Source organism: Homo sapiens, chromosome 1 (assembly GCF_000001405.40).
Source record: "Homo sapiens chromosome 1, GRCh38.p14 Primary Assembly".
Taxonomy (NCBI): Eukaryota; Metazoa; Chordata; class Mammalia; order Primates; family Hominidae; genus Homo; species Homo sapiens.
The window spans coordinates 219,387,037-219,406,856 of NC_000001.11; the positions used below are offsets into that span (position 1 = coordinate 219,387,037).

Consider the following 19,820-nt stretch of genomic DNA (forward strand, 5'->3'; position numbering starts at 1 on the left):
TATGATAAATTTCCATATTCTTTTTATGGTCTCAAAATCCTGCATAATCTGGACACTGCTTATCTCTCCAGTCTCTCTTCCCCTTCTCCCCCACATGCTCCTCTGTCCAAATATAACATTTTACATTCTTTCCTGCCTTGGGGTCTTCATTCAGCTGCTCCTGCCTGGCATGCTCTCTGACTACACTTACCTACCTAATTATTAATGTTCATATTGCATTTTAAAGCTATAAGTCTCATTTTTGTTAAAATAAAATGTAGGTAGAAAAATTTTATATGTACATGTCCTTTAACTGAGCCATAATTAAAAGGAAAGAAATTAAACAAAGACTCTTGCCCAGAGAGGAAGCTGTCTCCCCTCACCTGTAACTGCTGTGTTTACACAGATGGTGTGCTCTGAAAAGCCTTGCTTTCAGTTGATAAGGAAACTAAAATTTAACCAAGACCTTTGATTAGCTGATTTATCAAGTTGAAGCCAGTTCCCCTTAAGATGAAATCTAATTCTTGCTCTGTATCCCATGTGGCAAGCTTCAGTTTTCTATAATTTTCGTTCATCCAACATAGAGATAATAACTCTCCTGAGGTCAAATTATTTTTACGAAGGTTGTCTTCAACACCTGAAATGTTGCTTTAAATTCTGAGTTTGGAAAAAATTCACAGATGCTTAGAATCATGAATCACTGGGATGTGATGGTGGGGAATATGTCTGTTGCTCTTCACTTTCATTTTAAATGACATTCCCACTCTTGGTTTTCTTTCTTTGTTCTTCTAACTGTCTAAATTACCTGTGAAAATTTATGAGTGGAAACAGAATGGTTTAATATGCTTCTTTCCCAGAAGTATTTGGTATTTACAGTTGAAAAATGACCTAGATTCGGTTCTAATTCACACACAGGTGATGCTTGCTATTTCTGTACTTTTCTCCATCAGCCTTAGCCTAAACACCACTACCTCATGAAAAGCTTTCCCAATACCTCTAGGCTGGATCAGGTGGTGTTATTATTATGTCCACAGCAAATGTTTTACCTCCTCCACTAATTACCCCATTAATTTCAGTCTTTCAGTTTATGAGCTCCATATCATGTCTACCTTGTCCATTTGCTCATGCCCTGCACATAGCACAGTGCCTTAGACATAGTAAGCATTCAGGAAATATTTGTTGAGTGAAAAAATTCAATGCTTCCTCATATGGAGAGTGTTTTCTTGGCAAGACCATGCAATCAGGGAAGAAAATTACTATTAAAAATACAGACTTTCTCAGAGATCCCAATGGCAGGATCTCTCTCTCTCTCCCTCTCTCTCATTTTAAGTCTCTCCATGTTTTGGTTTCATTCACGTTTCCTTGTACACTTATTCCTCTGCCTCCACGCATAAGTTACAGGTTGTTATTATAGCTCTGGAGTTTATGTGTTTTCAGTTCACAGGACTAGTAGAGTCTAATATTCCTTATCCAATTCCAAACTCTAAAAAGAGAGAGAGGACTGTCTATCACTGGGCAAAACTAGTGGGACACCTCTTTCAATCAGCTGTGACTGGAAGGGTTCGATTCTGTCAGCAAGATGTTTGTGTGGGTTGTGGGTGAGGCATTGAATACTGCAAATACCCCAAAAGTTGTCTACTACACCGTTTGTCTCCTTGAATGCTCTGGAACATAAGATCATAAATAAATAAATATCAGTAAAAACAAAAAAAGCACAAAATGTCATTGGCTTCCCTGCAGGTGTTGATGAACATTAAGGGAAAATCTAGGTTTTATAGAGATGTATTGACAAACATTTCTCTTTTCTCAAATAAGGAGTATGTTCATTATTACTTGATGAGACTACTCCTTTATTCAAAATATCTCTAATTTTTAATAGTTTTTCCTTAACTCATTATGTGGTTTGCAACTTCTTAATAGGATTGTGGACTAGAATACACAGCTACTCCACACCTGACATTTTTCTCTTCACATATCTATCCAGGAGAAAGAGTTTCTTTACACATTTAAAATATTATTTTCACTATTTAAGTAGGCCATAAATCTGATTTTAAATGCATTTGGTATAAAATGTATTCTCAAATGAAAGAATATGATTGAAAATATTGAATTTTATTCATTCTTTTTCATTCTGGCTCTATCTTTGTTAATAATTCAGACATGCAGGAAATATGTAAAGGTGAGATTTCAAGTCATTACTAACATGCATTTGTCAGACTTTTCCTGGAATAAATATAAAGTGGCTTATTTGATACATGTCTTTTCTAGTTTCAAAGATTCCATTGGATTTGCTGAAGCAAACACAAGAGTATGGGGAAGGCCTGAGTATGAGGAAATGGCCAGGAAAAGCATCTTAAACAAGGGTGGAGTTTGTTATTCAGACTGAAGTTTGTGCCTTCTCCATTGATAAGAGTTGTAGATGGAGATTTAAAGTTATATTTCTCTTCCTGGTGCAGAGAAGGAGACACCCTTACAAATGAAGATTGCCTTTATAAATGTAAATTGCCCCTTAAAAGGGGAAAATTTTACTCTTGTCTTCAGAGATTTTCCTGGGCTGGCTATTTGCCAAAGTAATCGGCTCAGAATAACCCTTATGCTAAAGCAGAATGTTTTGGGTTGTCATGTCCTGAACTTCATCATTAGCTAGATTAATACCAATGAAGAACTGTAATCTACCATGTATAACTGATGTTTGCCATCCATAGTCTCTCTGAGTCAGTTATATTAGGTTGGCGTGAAAGTAATTTCGGTTTTTGCCATTACTTTTAGTGGCAAAAATCGCAATTACTTTTGTGCCAACCTAATATATAATTATCAAGAATGGATGATAAAGGCAATATTTGCAATAAAATTAATAGCAATATTTTCCACTGTAGAAAGCCAGATTTGCATAGATTGAAAATTATTGAACTAGAAATTAGAAGACCTCAATATCTGTATACTTGTTTATCATTTGATTTTAGTTCATTCACTTAATGCTCCCGAATTGCCACTTTCTCATCAGTAAATTAGTATTGGATTGGACAATTTTTACATTTGGTTCTTGTTCTATGTGTCACAAAATGCTTTGTAGTCTCTAGGCTTCATTTTGTCTCCCATAAGCCTGGAAGCTAAACAGGAAAATACTGACTACACTGTGTAAATGACAGAAGTGGGGTTGAGGCTCAGAAAATGAAGCCTCCAAATATGGCGCTTTGACATGCTATACTAAACAAGCAGCCTCAAAGTCTCTCCCTGCCTTCCTATCTCTCTGATCCTTTTTCTTTTCCAGAGCACCAGGAGGGGCTCTCTCTGGAAGTTCCTTTATCAGACAGAGAAAACTTCTTCTAAAAGAAATGCAATTGTCTTAAAATCCCCTCTCTAAAAATCTCATTAAATAACCAAGGAAGATTAACTACCAGAGAAGAGAAGGGACTGGGAGTCATCATCACAACCAGACAGATTTTCCATCTATTCTTCTGAGGGCAGTTCCATAAGATTAGCTAGGGAATTGTATCTGCATAATATGACGACCTTTGCCGACAATGCAGTTCTATTCTTGCCCTTTCCATAATTTGTCCACAAGCTATTGTTTGTCCTTTGATCCCGTTCAGCATCAAGAGAATCATTTACAAACCTGTTAGGTCTTTTTGCTCATTTATTTACATCTCTGCATATTTCCCCTTCCCAATGAAGAGGGCATTTAAGCATTAACCATCTGGCCCTTTTCTTGAGTTTTTCATATTTATTTATATGACTTGCATGCATTATGCACCTTAATAAATTTGTTACCTTTTTATCTTTTTAGCTGTCTTTTGTTATAGGGGTGGCAACTTCATTGGCATTTTGAGAAGTTTAAGATCTCCCCAAACTGGCCTAAGACTTGCACTTATATTAACTTCTGCACCTCATTTTATAATGGGGAGAAAATGTATCACCCCTTTTCAATCTCTACAGTTCTTGTAACAAGAATGGGATGACTGAAACACCTGATGCATTCCAGAGCCTACAAATAAAGTCTTGGGACAACTGACAAAAAGCCAACAACAAAAGGTTAAAATCTTTTACCGAAGTCAGTTTTCTCAGCCCTCTACCTGCAGTGCCTGGTCAAGAATAAAAGGTAAAAATTTGTCTTTATTTCTTCCTTTCCAAATTCAGTTTGGCAAAAGCATATTATTTGCTTGGATTGTGACTCTTGTGTACATTTGTGGGTACCCATTTGCTATTGATCCTTTCTCCTCCATGGACTGCTATCGTTTTCCTGTTTGTCTCATTTTGTGACCTGAGAACTTGGCTCAGCTTGCCACCTGTCACAGGCATGCAGATTGTCAAGCCTGCATATGCAGACAGCCAAGCAAAAGGTTGTGGGGGACCATCATAAAAAGTTAAAATACAGACTGTTGCCATCTCTCAAGACATTGTCTAAATCTTCCTTGCTTTTAGTTGTCTTTGGAGGCTGTTTGATTCTGAGAAGATTGTGTCTTCACACCTCTTTGGAGACATCTCATGCATTTTTGGTTAACCAAAGGAGGCTTATTGGTTTTGGTTCTGAGTCAATTGGTAGATACATTTAGCTTGAAAAAAAAAAATTAAGCCAGGACTATTTTCTCTTTGTCTCACTGAAATCTGATAATGAGAGATTTGAGAAGATTTTTTTAAGAGTTCTGTGATAAAAAGTCAGCACAATAGGAACTGATATTCAAGCTATATATTTTTAAAGCCACTCTATTTCTTTCTGTTGAATTTTGTTTCTACTCTTGGGAACTCCTCAGTCTATTGAACTCTTTTTTCTCAAACCCCTACCAACTAGAACTTCACTGGCATTTTGGGAAGTTTAAGATCTCCCCAAACTGGCTTCTCTAAGACTTGCACTTTTATTAACTTCTGCACCTCTTTCCTTTTGACACATTTGATTGTCCATCCAGTTCTCTTTAATCATTGATATGTTCCCCATTCAAGCCTCTACCTCCTTCATTTGGTGGTCACTGGATATAAAATTACTAAGACAAAGCATCAGTGTTCTGGCTATCCCATAAAGGTACCTAGGGAGGCCTTCTAGCAGCACTGAAACCCCTTGAGAAACACAAAAAAAGCATCTCAGACTCCCCTGTTTGGGGTCATCTGTCTTCCTCAGGGAGCCCCAAGAGTCGTGAGTAGGTTCCTCTCAGGTCAGAGGTGCTGCTGTCTTTTACATTGAGATCCCTGATCGCTTTGTCTTTTGGGGATACCAAGAGTCACTTTATACTGTGAGCCAACACTTGATCCTCGATGTGCAGGAACTAATGAGTCACTGGCAAGAGCTGTAATTTTAAAGTAAATGACAGTGGTTGCAATGAAAGGTTATTACTACAGTAGGCAAAATCCAGCCTTCCATCCTCCTCATTTGTTTGTATATTTAAAATTTTAAGTCTCAGATTTCTGCTTGAGTCTAACAGAAACTGACAGTAAGTGGCAATTTGGTGTAAGAAAAGTCATTAGCTATGATGGGCAAGGGAATCTTGGAGCTGTAAACATGACCTGACTCTTGATAGGTGTCGTATGCGTACTTGGAAGCTATGGGAGCCCCACCTTGAGCTCAGCAATACAGTTAAGAAACAGATGTTAAAAGTCACCTAAATAAAATTAATCTCCAAAATAAGGCTTTATGATATTCAGCTGGTTATTTTAAACAGACTTCTTAATTTTCTTCTATCCTCATCCATGTATTTCCTTATAAAATCAAGTTTTAACAGAAATAGATATTTTATTTACCCAGATGAACTTTGGAAACATTCAGAGCTAAAATTGAGCCCACAGCCTCCATAAAATTGATCTCTGATAATAAACAATATTCCCAAGATCTTTCTTGGAGATAAAATATCTATATAAATAAAATAAAACTAACTCAGATACCTTTTATATAATCTAAGATAATCTTTGAAAAATAAAGCTAGTTTTTAAATTGTTGGAAAAATAAAATAAGAATGTCCTCAGAATTTAATTTAGGTATTTTTGCTTGGGTCTATTGGTCAGACAGATTTATACTTTCTCTGCTAGATATTTTAAGGTCATAAAACTGTTGCTTCTGTGATATTTTTGATACTTGCTTAATTTTTCTGAGCTAAAGCTGTAAGGGTTGGTTACTGGGCTCCCCTAAAGCCTTGCACATATCTTATGGCGGGATTATGTCTTTGGTTTTGAGCCTCTGGATTCTGGAGTCTGAACAGATGGCCATGAAGAGGCCTGGGGACATATCAATGTCCATAGTACCTGGGCCACCAGGTGCAAGGCAGATTCAAGCCCAAAATGGCCTTGTCTTTGGCCCAGCTCTATCTGCTGGTCATACTGGAAGAGGTCAGATCCTCCAGGCATTATCTTCATAGTTCTGTCCTCTGTCCTGGGCTCTGTACCTCATATGTAAACACAGGATCCAGATATGCCCTGCCCTTCATAGCCACCCTGGATGCCACATAGGCACATGACACCCAGGGTGACTTTGGGGGTAGGAAGACACTGGGGAGGATACCTGTGTCCAGTATTCCAAATGCCTTGGTTAAGACAAGACTGGCTGATGCAGGGTTAGCCTGGCTTTGCTTTCTCAAAAATAAATAAATAAATAACTTAAGTGGCTAACTTTGTTTTCCATGAGCAACTCAAATATAACTGTTAATAATGAGTAAACTGGGTAAATGGAAATGAGATAGTTGCTTACAAATAAATGTCATTTCAAAACTGTTTTTCAGTAATTTAAAATCATAAGTCATATTATGTTAAATCGGGCAATAGACAATCATGACATGTCCAAGTTGCTTCTAAGTAAGATAAAATACTGAAACATTGATCACTAAACATAGGTTCAAGTTTGTCACTTTTGGCTTTTTAAAATTTATAAAAAGACTAAAGATATTTGGGTTTGCTAGTAAATACTGATTCACATGAAAAATATGTTCTACTAGAAAAAAACTTGTGTTTCTAAAAATTATAAAATGTTTTTATGTTTTTGTATATATGTATTAATTAAAATTGCTTATTTGTATATATGTATTAATTAAAATTGCTTACTTCCTACATTTCTCATGAAAATTTATGGTTACAAAGAGTTAAAATTACAATTAATATATTTAATTAAAACTACTAGATATAAGATAAGCAATTCTGAATACAAGTGTAAAAGTAACATGAGATATGAGGATATGTTTTTGTTAAAAGAAGGAATAATTTTGTCTAGATAAAAGTTATTTAAAGGTGTTTTTTAAGCCTTTGTTGAAATCTTATGAATTCAAAATGTTATGAATTCAAATATTTGTACAATTACATAGTGGCATCACAAAAAATCTTAACTTTTTAAAGAGTACCAGCCTTTTATTTTTGTAGATACATAATACTTTATTAAGTGTACAGTTCAGTGGCATTAAAGAGATTCACATGGTTATGCCGCTATCACCATCATCCACTCACAAAATTCTTTCATCTTCCAAATGGAACTTGTGTACCCATTAAACCAGAACTCCCCATCACCCCTTCTCCTAACCCCTGGCAGCTACCATTCTACTTTCTGTCTCTGTGAATTAATTACACTGGGTACCACATACATGTGACATCATACAATATTTTTCCTTTTGTGACTGGTTTATTTCATTTAGTATAATGTTTCTTTCTTTTAGCTTTTATTTTAAGTCCAGGGGTATATGTGCAGGTTTGTTATATAGGTAATGTATGTCACAGGGGTTTGTTATATAGATTATTTCATCACCCAGGCATTAAGCCTAGTACTCATCAGTTATTTTTCCTGATACTCTCCCTCTTCCCACCCTCCACCCTTCAATAGGCCTCAGTGTCTGTTGTTCCCCATTATGTGTTCATGTGTTCTAATCATTTAGCTTCCACTTATAAGTGAGAACATGTGGTATTCGACTTTCTGTTCCCGCATTAGTTTGCTAAGGATAATGGCCTCTAGCTCATTCATGTTTCTGCAAAGGCATGATCTCATTCTTTTTATGGCTGCACTTCATGTTGTATACGTACCATATTTTCTTCATCTACTCTACCACTGAGGGTCATATAAACTGATTTAATGTCTTTGCTACTGTGAATAGTGCTGCAGTGAACATATGTGTGCATGTGTCTTTATGAGATAGCCACTTATAGTCCTTTGGGTATATACCCAGTAATGGGATTGCTGGGTCAAATGGTAGTTTTGTTTTTAGGTCTTTGAGAAATCGCCAAATTGTTTTCCATAATGGTTGAACTATTTTACACTCTCACTAACAGTCTATAAGCATTTCTTTTTCTAGGCAACCTTGTCAGGACCTGTTATGTTTTTACTTTTTTCAAATAGCCATTCTGACTGGTGTGAGAGGGTATCTTATTGTGGTTTTGATTTGCATTTCTCTAATGATCAGTGATATTGTGTTTTTTTTCTCATATGCTTGTTGGCTACATGTATGTCTTCTTTTGGAAAGTGTGTTTATGTCCTTTGCCCACTTTTTAGTGGGGTTGTTTTTCTCTTGTATATTTAAGTTCCTTATAAATGCTGGATATTAGACCTCTGTCAAATGTATAGTTGGCAAAAATTTCCTCTCATTCTGTAGGTTGTCTGTTTAAGATGTTGATGGTTTCTTTTACTGTGTAGAAGCTCTTAAGTTTAATTTGGTCCTATTTGTCGATTTTTGCTTTTGTTGCAATTGCTTTTGGAGTCTTTGTCATGAAATCTTTAGCTGTTCCTACATCCAAGATGGTATTGCCTAGGTGGTCTTCCAGGATTTTTATAATTTTGGGTTTTACATTTAAGTCCTTGATCCATCTTGAGTTGATTTTTACATATGGTGTAAGGAAGGGGTCCAGTTTTGGCTGGATGCGGTGGCTCACACCTGTAATCCCAGCACTTTGGGAGGCCGAGGCAGGCGGATCACGAGCTCAGGAGATCGAGACCATCCTGGCTAACACAGTGGAACCCCGTCTCTACTAAAAATACAAAAAATTAGCCGGGCATGGTGGCGGGCACCTGTAGTCCCAGCTACTTGGGAGGCTGAGGCAGAAGAATGGCGTGAACCTGGGAGGTAGAGCTTGCAGTGAGCCGAGATTGCACCACTGTACTCTAGCCTGGGTGACAGAGCAAGACTCCATCTCAAAAAAAAAAAAAAAAAGAAGGAGTCCAATTTCAATCTTCTGCATATGGCTAGTCAGTTATCCCAGCATCATTTATTGAATAAGGTGTCTTTTTCCCCCATTGATGTTTTTTGTCTTCTTTGTCGAAGATAAGACAGTTGTAGATGTGTGGCCTTATTTCTGGGCTCTCTATTCTGTTCCATTGGTCTATGTACCTCTTTTTGTACCAGTATCATGCTGGTTTGATTACTGTAGTCTTGTAGTATAGTTTGAAATTGCATAATGTGATGCCTCCAGTTTTGTTCTTTTGGTTTAGGATTGCTTTCACTATTCAGGTTCTCTTTTGGTTCCATATGAATTTTAAAACAGGTTTTTCTAGTTCTATGAAGAATGTCATTGGTATTGAATCCATAAATTGCTCTGGGCAGTATGGCCATTTTAACAATACTAATTCTTCCTATCTGTGGTCATAGAATATTTTTCCGTTTGTTAGTGTCTTTTCTGATTTTCTTTTTATTTTGAGCAGTGTTTTGTAGTTCTCCTTGTAGAGATCTTTCATCTCCCTGGTTAACTGTATTCCTAGGTATTTTACTTAAGTATGTGTGGCAATTTTGAATGAAATTGTGTTCTGATTTTGCTCCCCCCTTGACTTGTTGGTGTTTAGGAATCCTAGTGATTTTTGTGCACTGATTTGGATAAAGTTGTTTATCATCTGGAGGAGCTTTTGGGCCGAGACTGTGGAATTTGGACATGTAGATATGGAATCATGTCATTTGTAAACAGGGATAGTTTGACTTCCTCTCTTCCTACTTGGATGCCTTTATTTCTTTCTCTTGCTGATTGCTCTGGCTAGGACTTCCAATACTATGTTGAGTAGGAGTGGTGAGAGAGGGCATCCTTGTCTTGTGCCTGTTTTCAAAGGGAGTGCTTCCAGGTTTTGCCCATTTAGTATGATGTTGGCTATGGATTTGTCATAGATGGCTGTTATTATTTTGAGGTGTGTTTCTTCAATACCTAGTTTATTGAGAGTTTTTAACATGAAGAAGTGTTGAATTTTATTTAAGGCCTTTTCTACATCTGTTGAGATAATCATGTGGTTTTTGTCTTTAGCTATGTTTATGTGATGAATCACATTTATTGATTTGCATAGGTTGAACCAACCTTGTATTCCAGGGATAAACCCTACTTCATCATGGTGGGTAATCTTTTTGATGTGCTGCTAGATTCAGTTTGCCAATTTTTTGTAGAGGATTTTTGCATCAATGTTCATAAAGGATATTGGCCTGAAGGTTTCTTTTTTTGTTGCTTTGTCATTGCTAGGTATCAGGGTGATGCTGACCTCATAGGATGAGTTAGGGAGGAATTCTTTCTCCTCAGTTTTTTTTAGAATAATTTCAGTAGGAATTGTACCAGCTCTTTGTGCACCAGTTTGCCACTCTGTGCCCTTTAATTGGGGCATTAGCTTGTTTACATTCAAGGTTAGTATTGATATGTGTGGATTTGATCCTGCCATCATGATGTTAACTGGTTATTATGCAGACTTGTTTATGTGGTTGCTTTATGGTGTCACTGGTTCATGTATTTATTTGTGTTTTTATAGTGGCTGGTAACAATCTTTCCTTTCTATATTTAGTGCTTCTTCAGAAGCTCTTGAAAGGCAGGTCTGGTGGTAACAAATTCCCTCAGCATTTGCTTGTTTGAAAAGGATTTTATTTCTTCTTTGCTTATGAATCTTAGTTTGGCCAGATAGGAAATTCTGGCTCGTTTTTTCTTCTTTAAAAATGTTGCATATTGCTCCCCAGTCTCTTCTGACTTGTAAGGTTTCTGCTGAGAGGTCTGCTGTTAGTTGGATGGGCTTCCCTTTGTAGATGAGCTGCCCCTTCTCTTTAGCTACCTTTCATATTTTTACTTTTATTTTGACCTTGGAGAATCTGATGATTATGTATCTTGGGGATCATCTTCTTGTGAAGTAGCTTTGAAGTTCACTGCATTTCCTGAATTTTAATTCCTGGTCTCTCTAGCTAGGTTGTTGAAGTTGTCATGGATGATATCCTGAAATATGTTTTGCAAGTTGCTTATTCTCTCCTTATCTCTTTCAGGGACACAAATGAGTCACAGATTTGGTTTCTTTACATGAGTTCTTATTTCTCAGAGGTTTTGTTCATTCCCTTTTATTCTTTTTTTCTCTATTCTTGTCTGACTGTCATATTTCAGAAAGACAGTCTTCAGGCTCTGAGATTCTTTCCTCCACTTAGTCTATTCTGCTACTAATACTTGTGATTGTATTATGAAATTCTTGCCATGAGTTTTTTAGCACTACAGGTTGGTTACATTCTTTTCTATACTGGCTACTTTGTCTGTCAGCTCCCGCATCATTTTATTGTGATTTTTAGCTTCCTTGGGTTGGGTTTCAATGTACTCCTGCATCTCAATCACCTTCATTCCTATCCATATTCTGAATTCTATTTTGGTCATTTCAGCCACCTCAGCACAGTTCAGACCCTTGCTGAGGAGATGGTGTGGTCATTTGGAGGAATGAAGGCACTTTGGCTTTTTGAGTTGTCAGAGTTCTTGCACTGGTCCTTTCTCATCTTTAAGGGCTGATGTTCCTTCAGTCTTTGAAGTTGTTAACCTTTGAATTGTTTTTCTATTATCCTATTCGATGACCTCGAGGGTTTGATTATGGTATAAGGTGAATTCATCCAACTGGCTTAGTTTCTGAAAGATTTTAGGGGGCCAGTGCTGAGTTCCCAACTCCTGGACTGCATGCTCTAACTCTGGATGACTTTTATTGTGCCCTGTCTTTGTTTTCTGGCCTCTTGATGTTAGGAATCCACTGTGCTGAGTGGCCTGAGGTGCTCCCAGACTGCTAGTCACTACACTCCAATGGATGGTGTCAGCCAAAGCATTTCATAGTGCAGTGACAGTGTGATCCGTCCTCATTTGCACATGCCAGCAGCAGCAGCAGTAGCAGTGCAGGGAGGGGCACCCTTGTTGGCTGCAGCAGGGTGCTAGTGGGTGTGGGGGTGCCTGCCTCCATGTGGGTGTTCACCACAGTGGTGGAAGCAACATGGCTCAGTGAGCTGGGGCGGGGGGGCCTCCCAGTGACTGTGCACACAGTCACACTGGTAGAGGCATTGGCACAGGGTTGGGGCACTGGTGGGCACAGGTCTGTGTGCATTCTCAGTGTACTACAGACAGGGGTGGTGACTCAGGTCCAGGGAGGGTCCACTGTTCTCTGTACCTAGTTTCACTCCCATGGCAGTGTTGGTGCAAGGCCAGGGCACTGGTGGGGGTGTGGCTCTGTGCCAAACAAGGGTCTAATTGCAATGGCAGTTGCCAGGATAAGGGGGATGGACTGCACTCCTGCCACAGAAGTGGCAGGTCAGGGTGCATCCAGTCACACATGCTGGTGGAGCAAGGAAGGCAAAATCTACCCATGCGCTGGCGAAGCAATGTGGGGATTTGCTGTGGGGCCCAGCAAAGCTGCAGTGTAAGAGGGAGCAGGGGGGTTGGTGCATGGCTATGGGGGCCACCCTGATGGAGCTCTCCACTGATCAGGTACTATGGTATGCCAGCCCAGGAGCTATAATGTGGGCCCCCAGGCACCCGAGGCTGCTCTGCACACAAACACAGACAAGGTGGGGTCCCAGGAGAGGCCAGGACTAAGGGGTGCTCAGGTCGGTCAGACCAGCCCCATCTGATGAGCAAGACTGCCCAGTAGAGTTCAGGTCCGACAGTTCTGCTAGGGTTAAAGTCTCCTATTGGAGCAAGTTAAGCCCAGGGGTTTGGCCATCCCTAGCCATGCTCTGCTACAGATGCTCCCACACCAAACCCGCTGGTCTCTACATCAGCTGGCTTGCTGACCCTACCACTTCTCTAAGCAGCTCTCCCTGCCAACTGGAGTGTCTGTGGTGGTCAAGGGGTCTCTTCCTGCAGGGATTCCAGAGGTCCAAGGTAAGAGCATGTTGCTTCTTGCCAGTTCCACTCACCTATTTCCCCAGAGTCACTGGGGACCAGGAATGAGTCCTGATGCACAGTATCGTCGTGCGGGGTTCCCAGCTTCCTTCCCCTTCAGCCCAGCTTCTGCATCTTCCCTCTGACCACTCTCAGTGCCTTCCTGATGAAGATCTGTTAGGAGTGCACCAGTTGTCTCAGCCCTTTGGTGGCAGCTGTTCCATGTGGCAGCATCTAGTTGGCCATCTTGCCCTTTCTCAATGTAAATTTTTGTTTAAATATCTCCTTTTTCATACTACAACTATTGTTAAAGAATGTGTCACCCAGAGTGATAAATCTATGGAAGCAAAGCAAATATCATCAATAAGAAATTCTGTAGCCTCCAATGCCTGATTTCACCCAGGCAGTAAACTCATGGCAAAGCTGTGTGCCCTATCTATCTATCTATCTGTCTATCTATCTTTTTTTTTTTTTTGAGACAGAGTCTTGCTGTGTTGCCCAGGCTGGAATGCAGTGGAACGATCTCAGCTCACTGCAACCTCTGTCTCCCAGGTTCAAATGATTCTTGTATCTAGCCTCTCGAGTAGCTGGGATTACAGGTGGTCACCACCACACCCAGCTAATTTTTGTATTATTAGTACAGACAGGGTGGGGTTTCACCATTTTGGCCAGGCTGGTCTTGAACTCCTGACCTCAAGTTATCCACCTGCCTCAACCTCCTAGAGTGCCGGGATTATAGGCATGAGCCACTGCACCCGGCCTGTCTATCATCTATCTATCTATCTGTCTGCCTATCTAGCTATCTATCTAATGATTGGAATATTCAAAGTTTATTAAAAAGCATGCTGGAAAATTTCACTCTACTGCAAAACACACCATCTCTTTATTTTTCCCATATCCAATAAAAAAGGGTTTGATGAATATTCTCAATTACCTTGTATCTCAGTCTATATCTCAGTTGTATATTTTACATGATTTTAAGAAGAGATTAGAAGTTTTATTATTATTTCTTATAAATCAATATTACATTTTTAGATAAAAGAAATATATAGTGGGGTTAGTTAACATTTTGTTTTTTCTAATTATTTATTCAGGCTCCAAAAACATTTTCAATAATTTTTTCACAAATTGCTCTCATCAATTTTTGATCTGCTAATTTATCACTACTGTATGTTGATTAATACTGTTTATTTATTTGGCAAAACTTACAAATAAATGATAAATTCTCCTGTAAGTAATGCTCTTAACAAAAATTCTTAATAATGTTTATAAGCCCCATGCTAGGTAGTAGCCTAATGCCTTTTCTTTTTTTAATTGCCACTTAACCCTGCCTCCTTCTTGCAATAAAACATATTCATTCATGTGTTAGTGAATAATTGGGGAAAGGAAATCCCATACATCTATCAAGAGATACATTTTCAATAATATTTTTATTTTTCTATTTGATATCTATTTATAAAAGTGTTTCAATTTTTGTGATAAATTTTATAAAATTATAAAATAGTAATATTTATAATGAAAATTATATCTTTGACTACTATTTCAAATTACAATGAAGTACTTTATATGTCAAATGCAAATATAGAATTAAATTCATAGCTTTTCAAACTCTTTTGGAAGGTATGCCAGCAAAATATTATAAAGTTTACAGTTGTAGCCATGTGTATAATTATCCTGAGTAATTAAATCCATAAGTAGCAAAATGTATAACATGTAGCTCTGGTATACCAAAATAATTTTGCTAGTCCTATTGCTAGTAGGATATATGCTTTAATTTGGTATTGTTTTTCTAGAACTAGGGATGGATATGAATAGAGTGATTTGTGTTTTCAATCCTCTGGTGACCAGTGACCTCCATGTGTTTACATATTTGACAAATGCCCAGGTTGGTCAATTGTTAGCAATAAGGAAAATCTTACATGATTATATAAGTATGTTGCCCTAGAACTTGGCCTCCTATTGCATAGAGAGGCTTATTTCTAAGAGAAATGTACCCACTGGGTCTTTCTTGGACAATTCATCATATATTATTATGCAAAGTAAAAGCTGGCAATAAAAAGCTTGGTTTTTAAAAAGGGAAAGAAAAACAGAGAATTGGATTAGTTTCAATTTGTTTTATTTAACTTGTATTCTGTTATTTCCAAGTTTCTGTTTGGAAAATATGAAATGCCAACATTTTATATAATGATGTCATTGCTATAAAAATCATTTTTAAAATTTTTCCTTTGAGGTTTAGTTTAGTTAGTTCTGCAATAAGCTGAATTGAGGCTCTTGAATCAGATCCCAAACAAAAAAGAAAGTAAATTGCCCACCATTTTAAATAAAAATTGAGTGTTTATTTTATTTTGTTTTTCAGTGCCATATTTGAAACTAGAAGCAGTTTGTTTAAACATGATCATTTATATTTGAAAAGTGCATTTCCCCCTAAGATAAGCATTCACATCAAAAGGAACATTACAAAGTTTCATAAACAATAAAGTCAATCAGTTAATTATTCTTGGACCAGTATATTGACTTCTGGTGAGTTTCTACTAATATACTTTTAAAAATAACTGGATTGTATTACTTGCTAAAATACCACTAAAGGAAAACCCTACCAGAAACCAAAAAAAAAAAAAAAAGCTAATGAAAAAATTGCAATTTTTTATTGTATAGTATGCATCATTTGGTAAGATTAAGAAGTACTGAAAGAGATCTTTTATGTCACATAAATACATATTAATTCAGTCTGAATTCATACTCTGTAGGCAGTTAATTCATGTAATCGTGAGAATAAGGAAGAAGTAAAAAGGTAGAGAGAAAAAACCTAAGAAAAGGGTTATTATGTTTTGGGAGTAAGGAATAGGGCCAGAGGGAATATAGATATTCCCAGGAATCTATTTCTTTCTTGCCTGAAAGTTCTGTCAAGAATGAAGAGCTCCTCACACTGTGCTTATATTTGAAACCCAGAGAATTACTGGAACCCAAGGATCAGGAGAGAATAAAGAGGGATTGAAATCTAGGGGTCATGCAAAGTAGAGAGATACAATCCTCAGGGGCAGAAACCAATTTCATGTTGTGACTACAAGTCATCACCATCATAGTAGTCAGAAAGACCTGGAAAGCAAGTGACTCATGCAATTATTTTCTCAGTGAAAACTTGGGTGCATGCACATGCCAGTTTTTGGGTTAAGTTCTAGGTATACAATGAAGAGAAGTAGTCCTTGCCTTCTAAGAGTGCATAATATAGTGGCAGAGACAGACAAGAAAACAGTCACTCACAACATAGGGACCTAAAGGGGATGTGTCTACAGTGCATGGGGATTGCAGAAGAGGGCCTCTTCCCAGCTTTCAGAAAACCCTGGGGGGCTGACCAAAGAAGGTAGGATATCCTGACTGAATTCTGAACGCTGAGTATAATTTAATTATTGAAAAGTGTGGAGGAGAGGGAGAAGCAGGGAACTGGGATCACAAGAGGAGTAAACAATCTATGTAAAAGACGCGGCAGGAAGAGAGCTTATTTCAGGTGAATTGACTGCAATAGCAGTTTATGCTTTAGGACAATAGGGTGCCAGTGGGGAGATTTTGAGTAGAAAAATAATATACATCATTTGAATTTCCCTGTCAAAATATAACCTCTGGATGCAGTGTACAGAGAATAGTCAAAGGGAGCAAAAACTGAAGGCAGAAAGATTAGAAGACTGTTGCGTTAATTCCTTTATTTCTATTTTTCAAAATTTAAGAACCTCAATCTGAGATTTCTCATCCATGCAGTGAGAACTTTCAATGAGCCATTTATATATACAACCTTTCTGCCAATCAGGAACTACTTTTAATGGTCTCAGTGTAGATATATATCTTATTCAGCTTGACTGCCATAACAAAATACCGTAGGCTGGGTGGCTTCAAGAATAGAAATTCATTTTCTCTCTGTTCTAAGGATAGAAGTTCAAGATCAAGGTGCTGATATAGTTGATTCCTGGTGAGGGCTTTCTTCCTGGCTTGCAGACACAGCTGCCTTCTGGCTATGTCCTCACATAAAGGAGGAAGACAGAGAAGGAGGAGAGAGGGAGGGAGGGAAAGAGGGAGAGAGAGAAGAGAGAAAAGAGAAATACCTCGTGTCTCTTTTTATGAAGGTGCTCATCTCATCATAAGAGCCCCATTCTCATGACCTTATCTAAACCTAACTAATATCTCCAAAGCCCCATCTCCAAATGCCATCACATTAAGGGGTTGGGTTTCAACATATGGATCGTGAAGCTGAGGGGAGCACACGTCAGGGCATAGCACTTCAGTTGATATATTAGTTATGTAATTAAAATCCAAAAGAGTAATCCTTTTCCAGAGGGGTTGCTAATAATCTAGTCCTTTCAATTATGTCATTTTGTAAATAAGGAGACCCTTGTCTTATTCTTAATCATCTTTAAATATTTTGGTGCTAGAAGATGGTCTCTTCAGATGGTCACTTATTGTTTCTTAGAGTGACAGAATATAGAATAATAATGTGCATAATAGTAAACTCCTCTGCAGTTTTGCAATGTGTTGAGCCCAAATAATATAAATATAGGGCCCTATGAAAACACACAAAAAAAGGGACACCAAAGCCCAGGCTGGAAATCAAAGAGATGTTGGTTCATGGGTTCAAAAATACAGTTAGATAGAAGGAATAAGTAAGTCCTAGTGTACAGTAGCACACTAGGGTGGCTACACTTAACAATAATTTGTTGTATATTTCAAAATAGCTGGAAGGGAAGATTTGAAATGTCCTCAACACAAAGACATGATAAGGGTTTGAGGTGATGGATATCCCAATTACCATGATTTGCTCATTACACATTTTTCACCTCAACTCCACTGAGTCATCTTTGACACCACGTCCTTTTTACAATTTCATCCAGGACAGTGCTTTATAAATTGTTTATGAAAAGCAACTCCCCATCCATTGGTAAGTTTTTGAACATCAAACTGGAAAAAAATGCATAGATAGTAACTTTCACCTTTTATTAATCTGTTAATCATCATCTATTTAATCAATAAACATTTTCTAAGCACCTAGCTGTATAAGGTACTTTCCAGATACCTGTGGGGGAGGAAAAGAGGATTTGCATGCCATAGTTAAGTGTCATTGTACACATTTTCATCATAACAGTTAAAGGTAAATTCTCTTTCCCTCTTCTGCATTAACAGCATAAGTCTGCATGGAGCTCATATTGACTATTTTCTTGTGAACTAGATAAGCTTCAGCTTGGTTGAGTAGATAACACCACCAAATAAATTCCCTTGGGGATTAAAATGTGTGTGGTGTCAGTGACCTAGCATAAACACAGGCAAATAATATCTGCAGACAAATGGTAAATTTGTATATTTGTTCTCTGAGGCATACTCTTTGAAAATTTCAAGAATAATCTATCTTAGGAATAGATGTTTCCCTTGAAAGAAAAATGGTACATCTCTGGCAAGTAATCAGAGGATACATGAGCATATTATACACACACACGTATATATCTACCACTTTTCATTTCTGAAACAGAAGAATTCTCAAAGGACCATCTTCTGAAACACTAAAATTCTCAAAAAGTTTCCCAGAACAGCGCATTACTATAACTTGACACCATGTTTTAGATATTACCCAATAAATGTTTGCAAGGTAGCAATAAACCTTTTTTCTAATAGCAGGCTTCATGCTGTGCTACCAGAGCGCAGAGGAAATGACTGAGCAGAAAGCTCATATACAGTATGCAAAGGCAGCATCAAAGACCTTCCAAGGCCAGTTCATTACAGTACCTCTGAGGAGGGTCAGAGCCTGCCCTGATTGCTTCCTCATTAGAGGTCACTTGCTTCAGTCCTGTCTAATAACCCCTAAATATGGAAGCACTCAGCAAGGCCACACTTGAGGTAGTCAGAGGTGTTTGGTATACTGGGTTGAGCAGCTGAAAGTTGGAATGCCTTGCAAGTCTACTTATAATAAAAGTGTCCCTTCCACCTATTTTTCTTGACAGTCCTACAGCTGCTGACATTAGCCAGCTCTGCATGTCCCCAGCTTCAAGTGCCAACTGCAACCCAATACGCTTGAGATTTGAGAATCCCATTTTCTTAAAAGTTTATAGAAGCATTCAGGCAGAAGTCCGCCTTTTAAAAAAGGAAATAAGTTATTATTATGCAAACAATTTTCTCTGCATTGGGGCCAAGAGCTTTTCAAGTTAACTGATTTTAATTCGCTAAATTTAATGTGACAGTTTGCCTCTTATTCGGGAAAGGGAAGCTTTGAAACTGAGACTGAAATTGGAGCTATCATGCTCAATTTTATGCTTAGAAAAACATATCGCACAGGTTTGAAGCAAGTTTATCTCTGTGGTTCAGGTGTGTATCTACTGAAGTCAAAGAACCTCACTGCTTTCATTAACTTTGGGCAGACTGTGTGTCACTAATCTGGTTAATAAGATTAGGACCTAAACACACTTGCATGGCTTTATTTTCTACTAGGCTCTAGTTACATTTATAAACATTTACAGTTTCTTTTTACTTAGAGATTGTACTCTTCAAAAATTGAGCTGAAACGAACATTCTGATATTTTTCTTAGATTCACAAGATGTGAAGAAGAAGGAAATACAATAAAAAACAATTTGTGTTTGTTTGTTTATCATGAAACCCTATGCTGAACCCAGATTTTGTAACCCATGCTTTTAGGGATTATGTCTTATTTGTACCTTGAAATTGGTACAATGTCAAGAACATAGCAGTTGTATAAATCTATATCATAAATAGAAAAAAAAACCCTGCATTTACTATTATGTGTCATTCCCTGACTTATGTGTTCTTCCTTTAAGTGAAATTCACC

At 37.8% G+C, this 19,820-nt stretch overlaps 1 protein-coding gene across 6 annotated transcripts in view, besides 1 other annotated feature; it reads left to right on the forward strand.

Annotated features, from left to right (window-relative positions):
- Positions 1-19,820, forward strand: part of LYPLAL1 (lysophospholipase like 1) — a 271,619-nt gene that overhangs the window by 213,159 nt on the left and 38,640 nt on the right. For 2 of the 6 annotated variants that reach the window (XR_007078564.1, XR_007078561.1), the window contains one exon: positions 3,916-4,078. The exons of the other annotated variants lie outside the window; for them this stretch is intronic. The gene's annotated coding sequence lies outside the window, so the exon portion shown is untranslated. The remainder of the gene's footprint in view (positions 1-3,915; positions 4,079-19,820) is intronic. 6 annotated transcript variants of the gene reach the window in all.
- Positions 12,336-12,965: an enhancer, noted in NCBI's record as "H3K27ac-H3K4me1 hESC enhancer chr1:219572714-219573343 (GRCh37/hg19 assembly coordinates)". NCBI's record gives its function as "activates a minimal SCP1, AML or CMV promoter by ChIP-STARR-seq in primed H9 embryonic stem cells {active_cell/tissue: H9 hESC(primed)}" and the evidence as "EXISTENCE:reporter gene assay evidence [ECO:0000049][PMID:30033119]".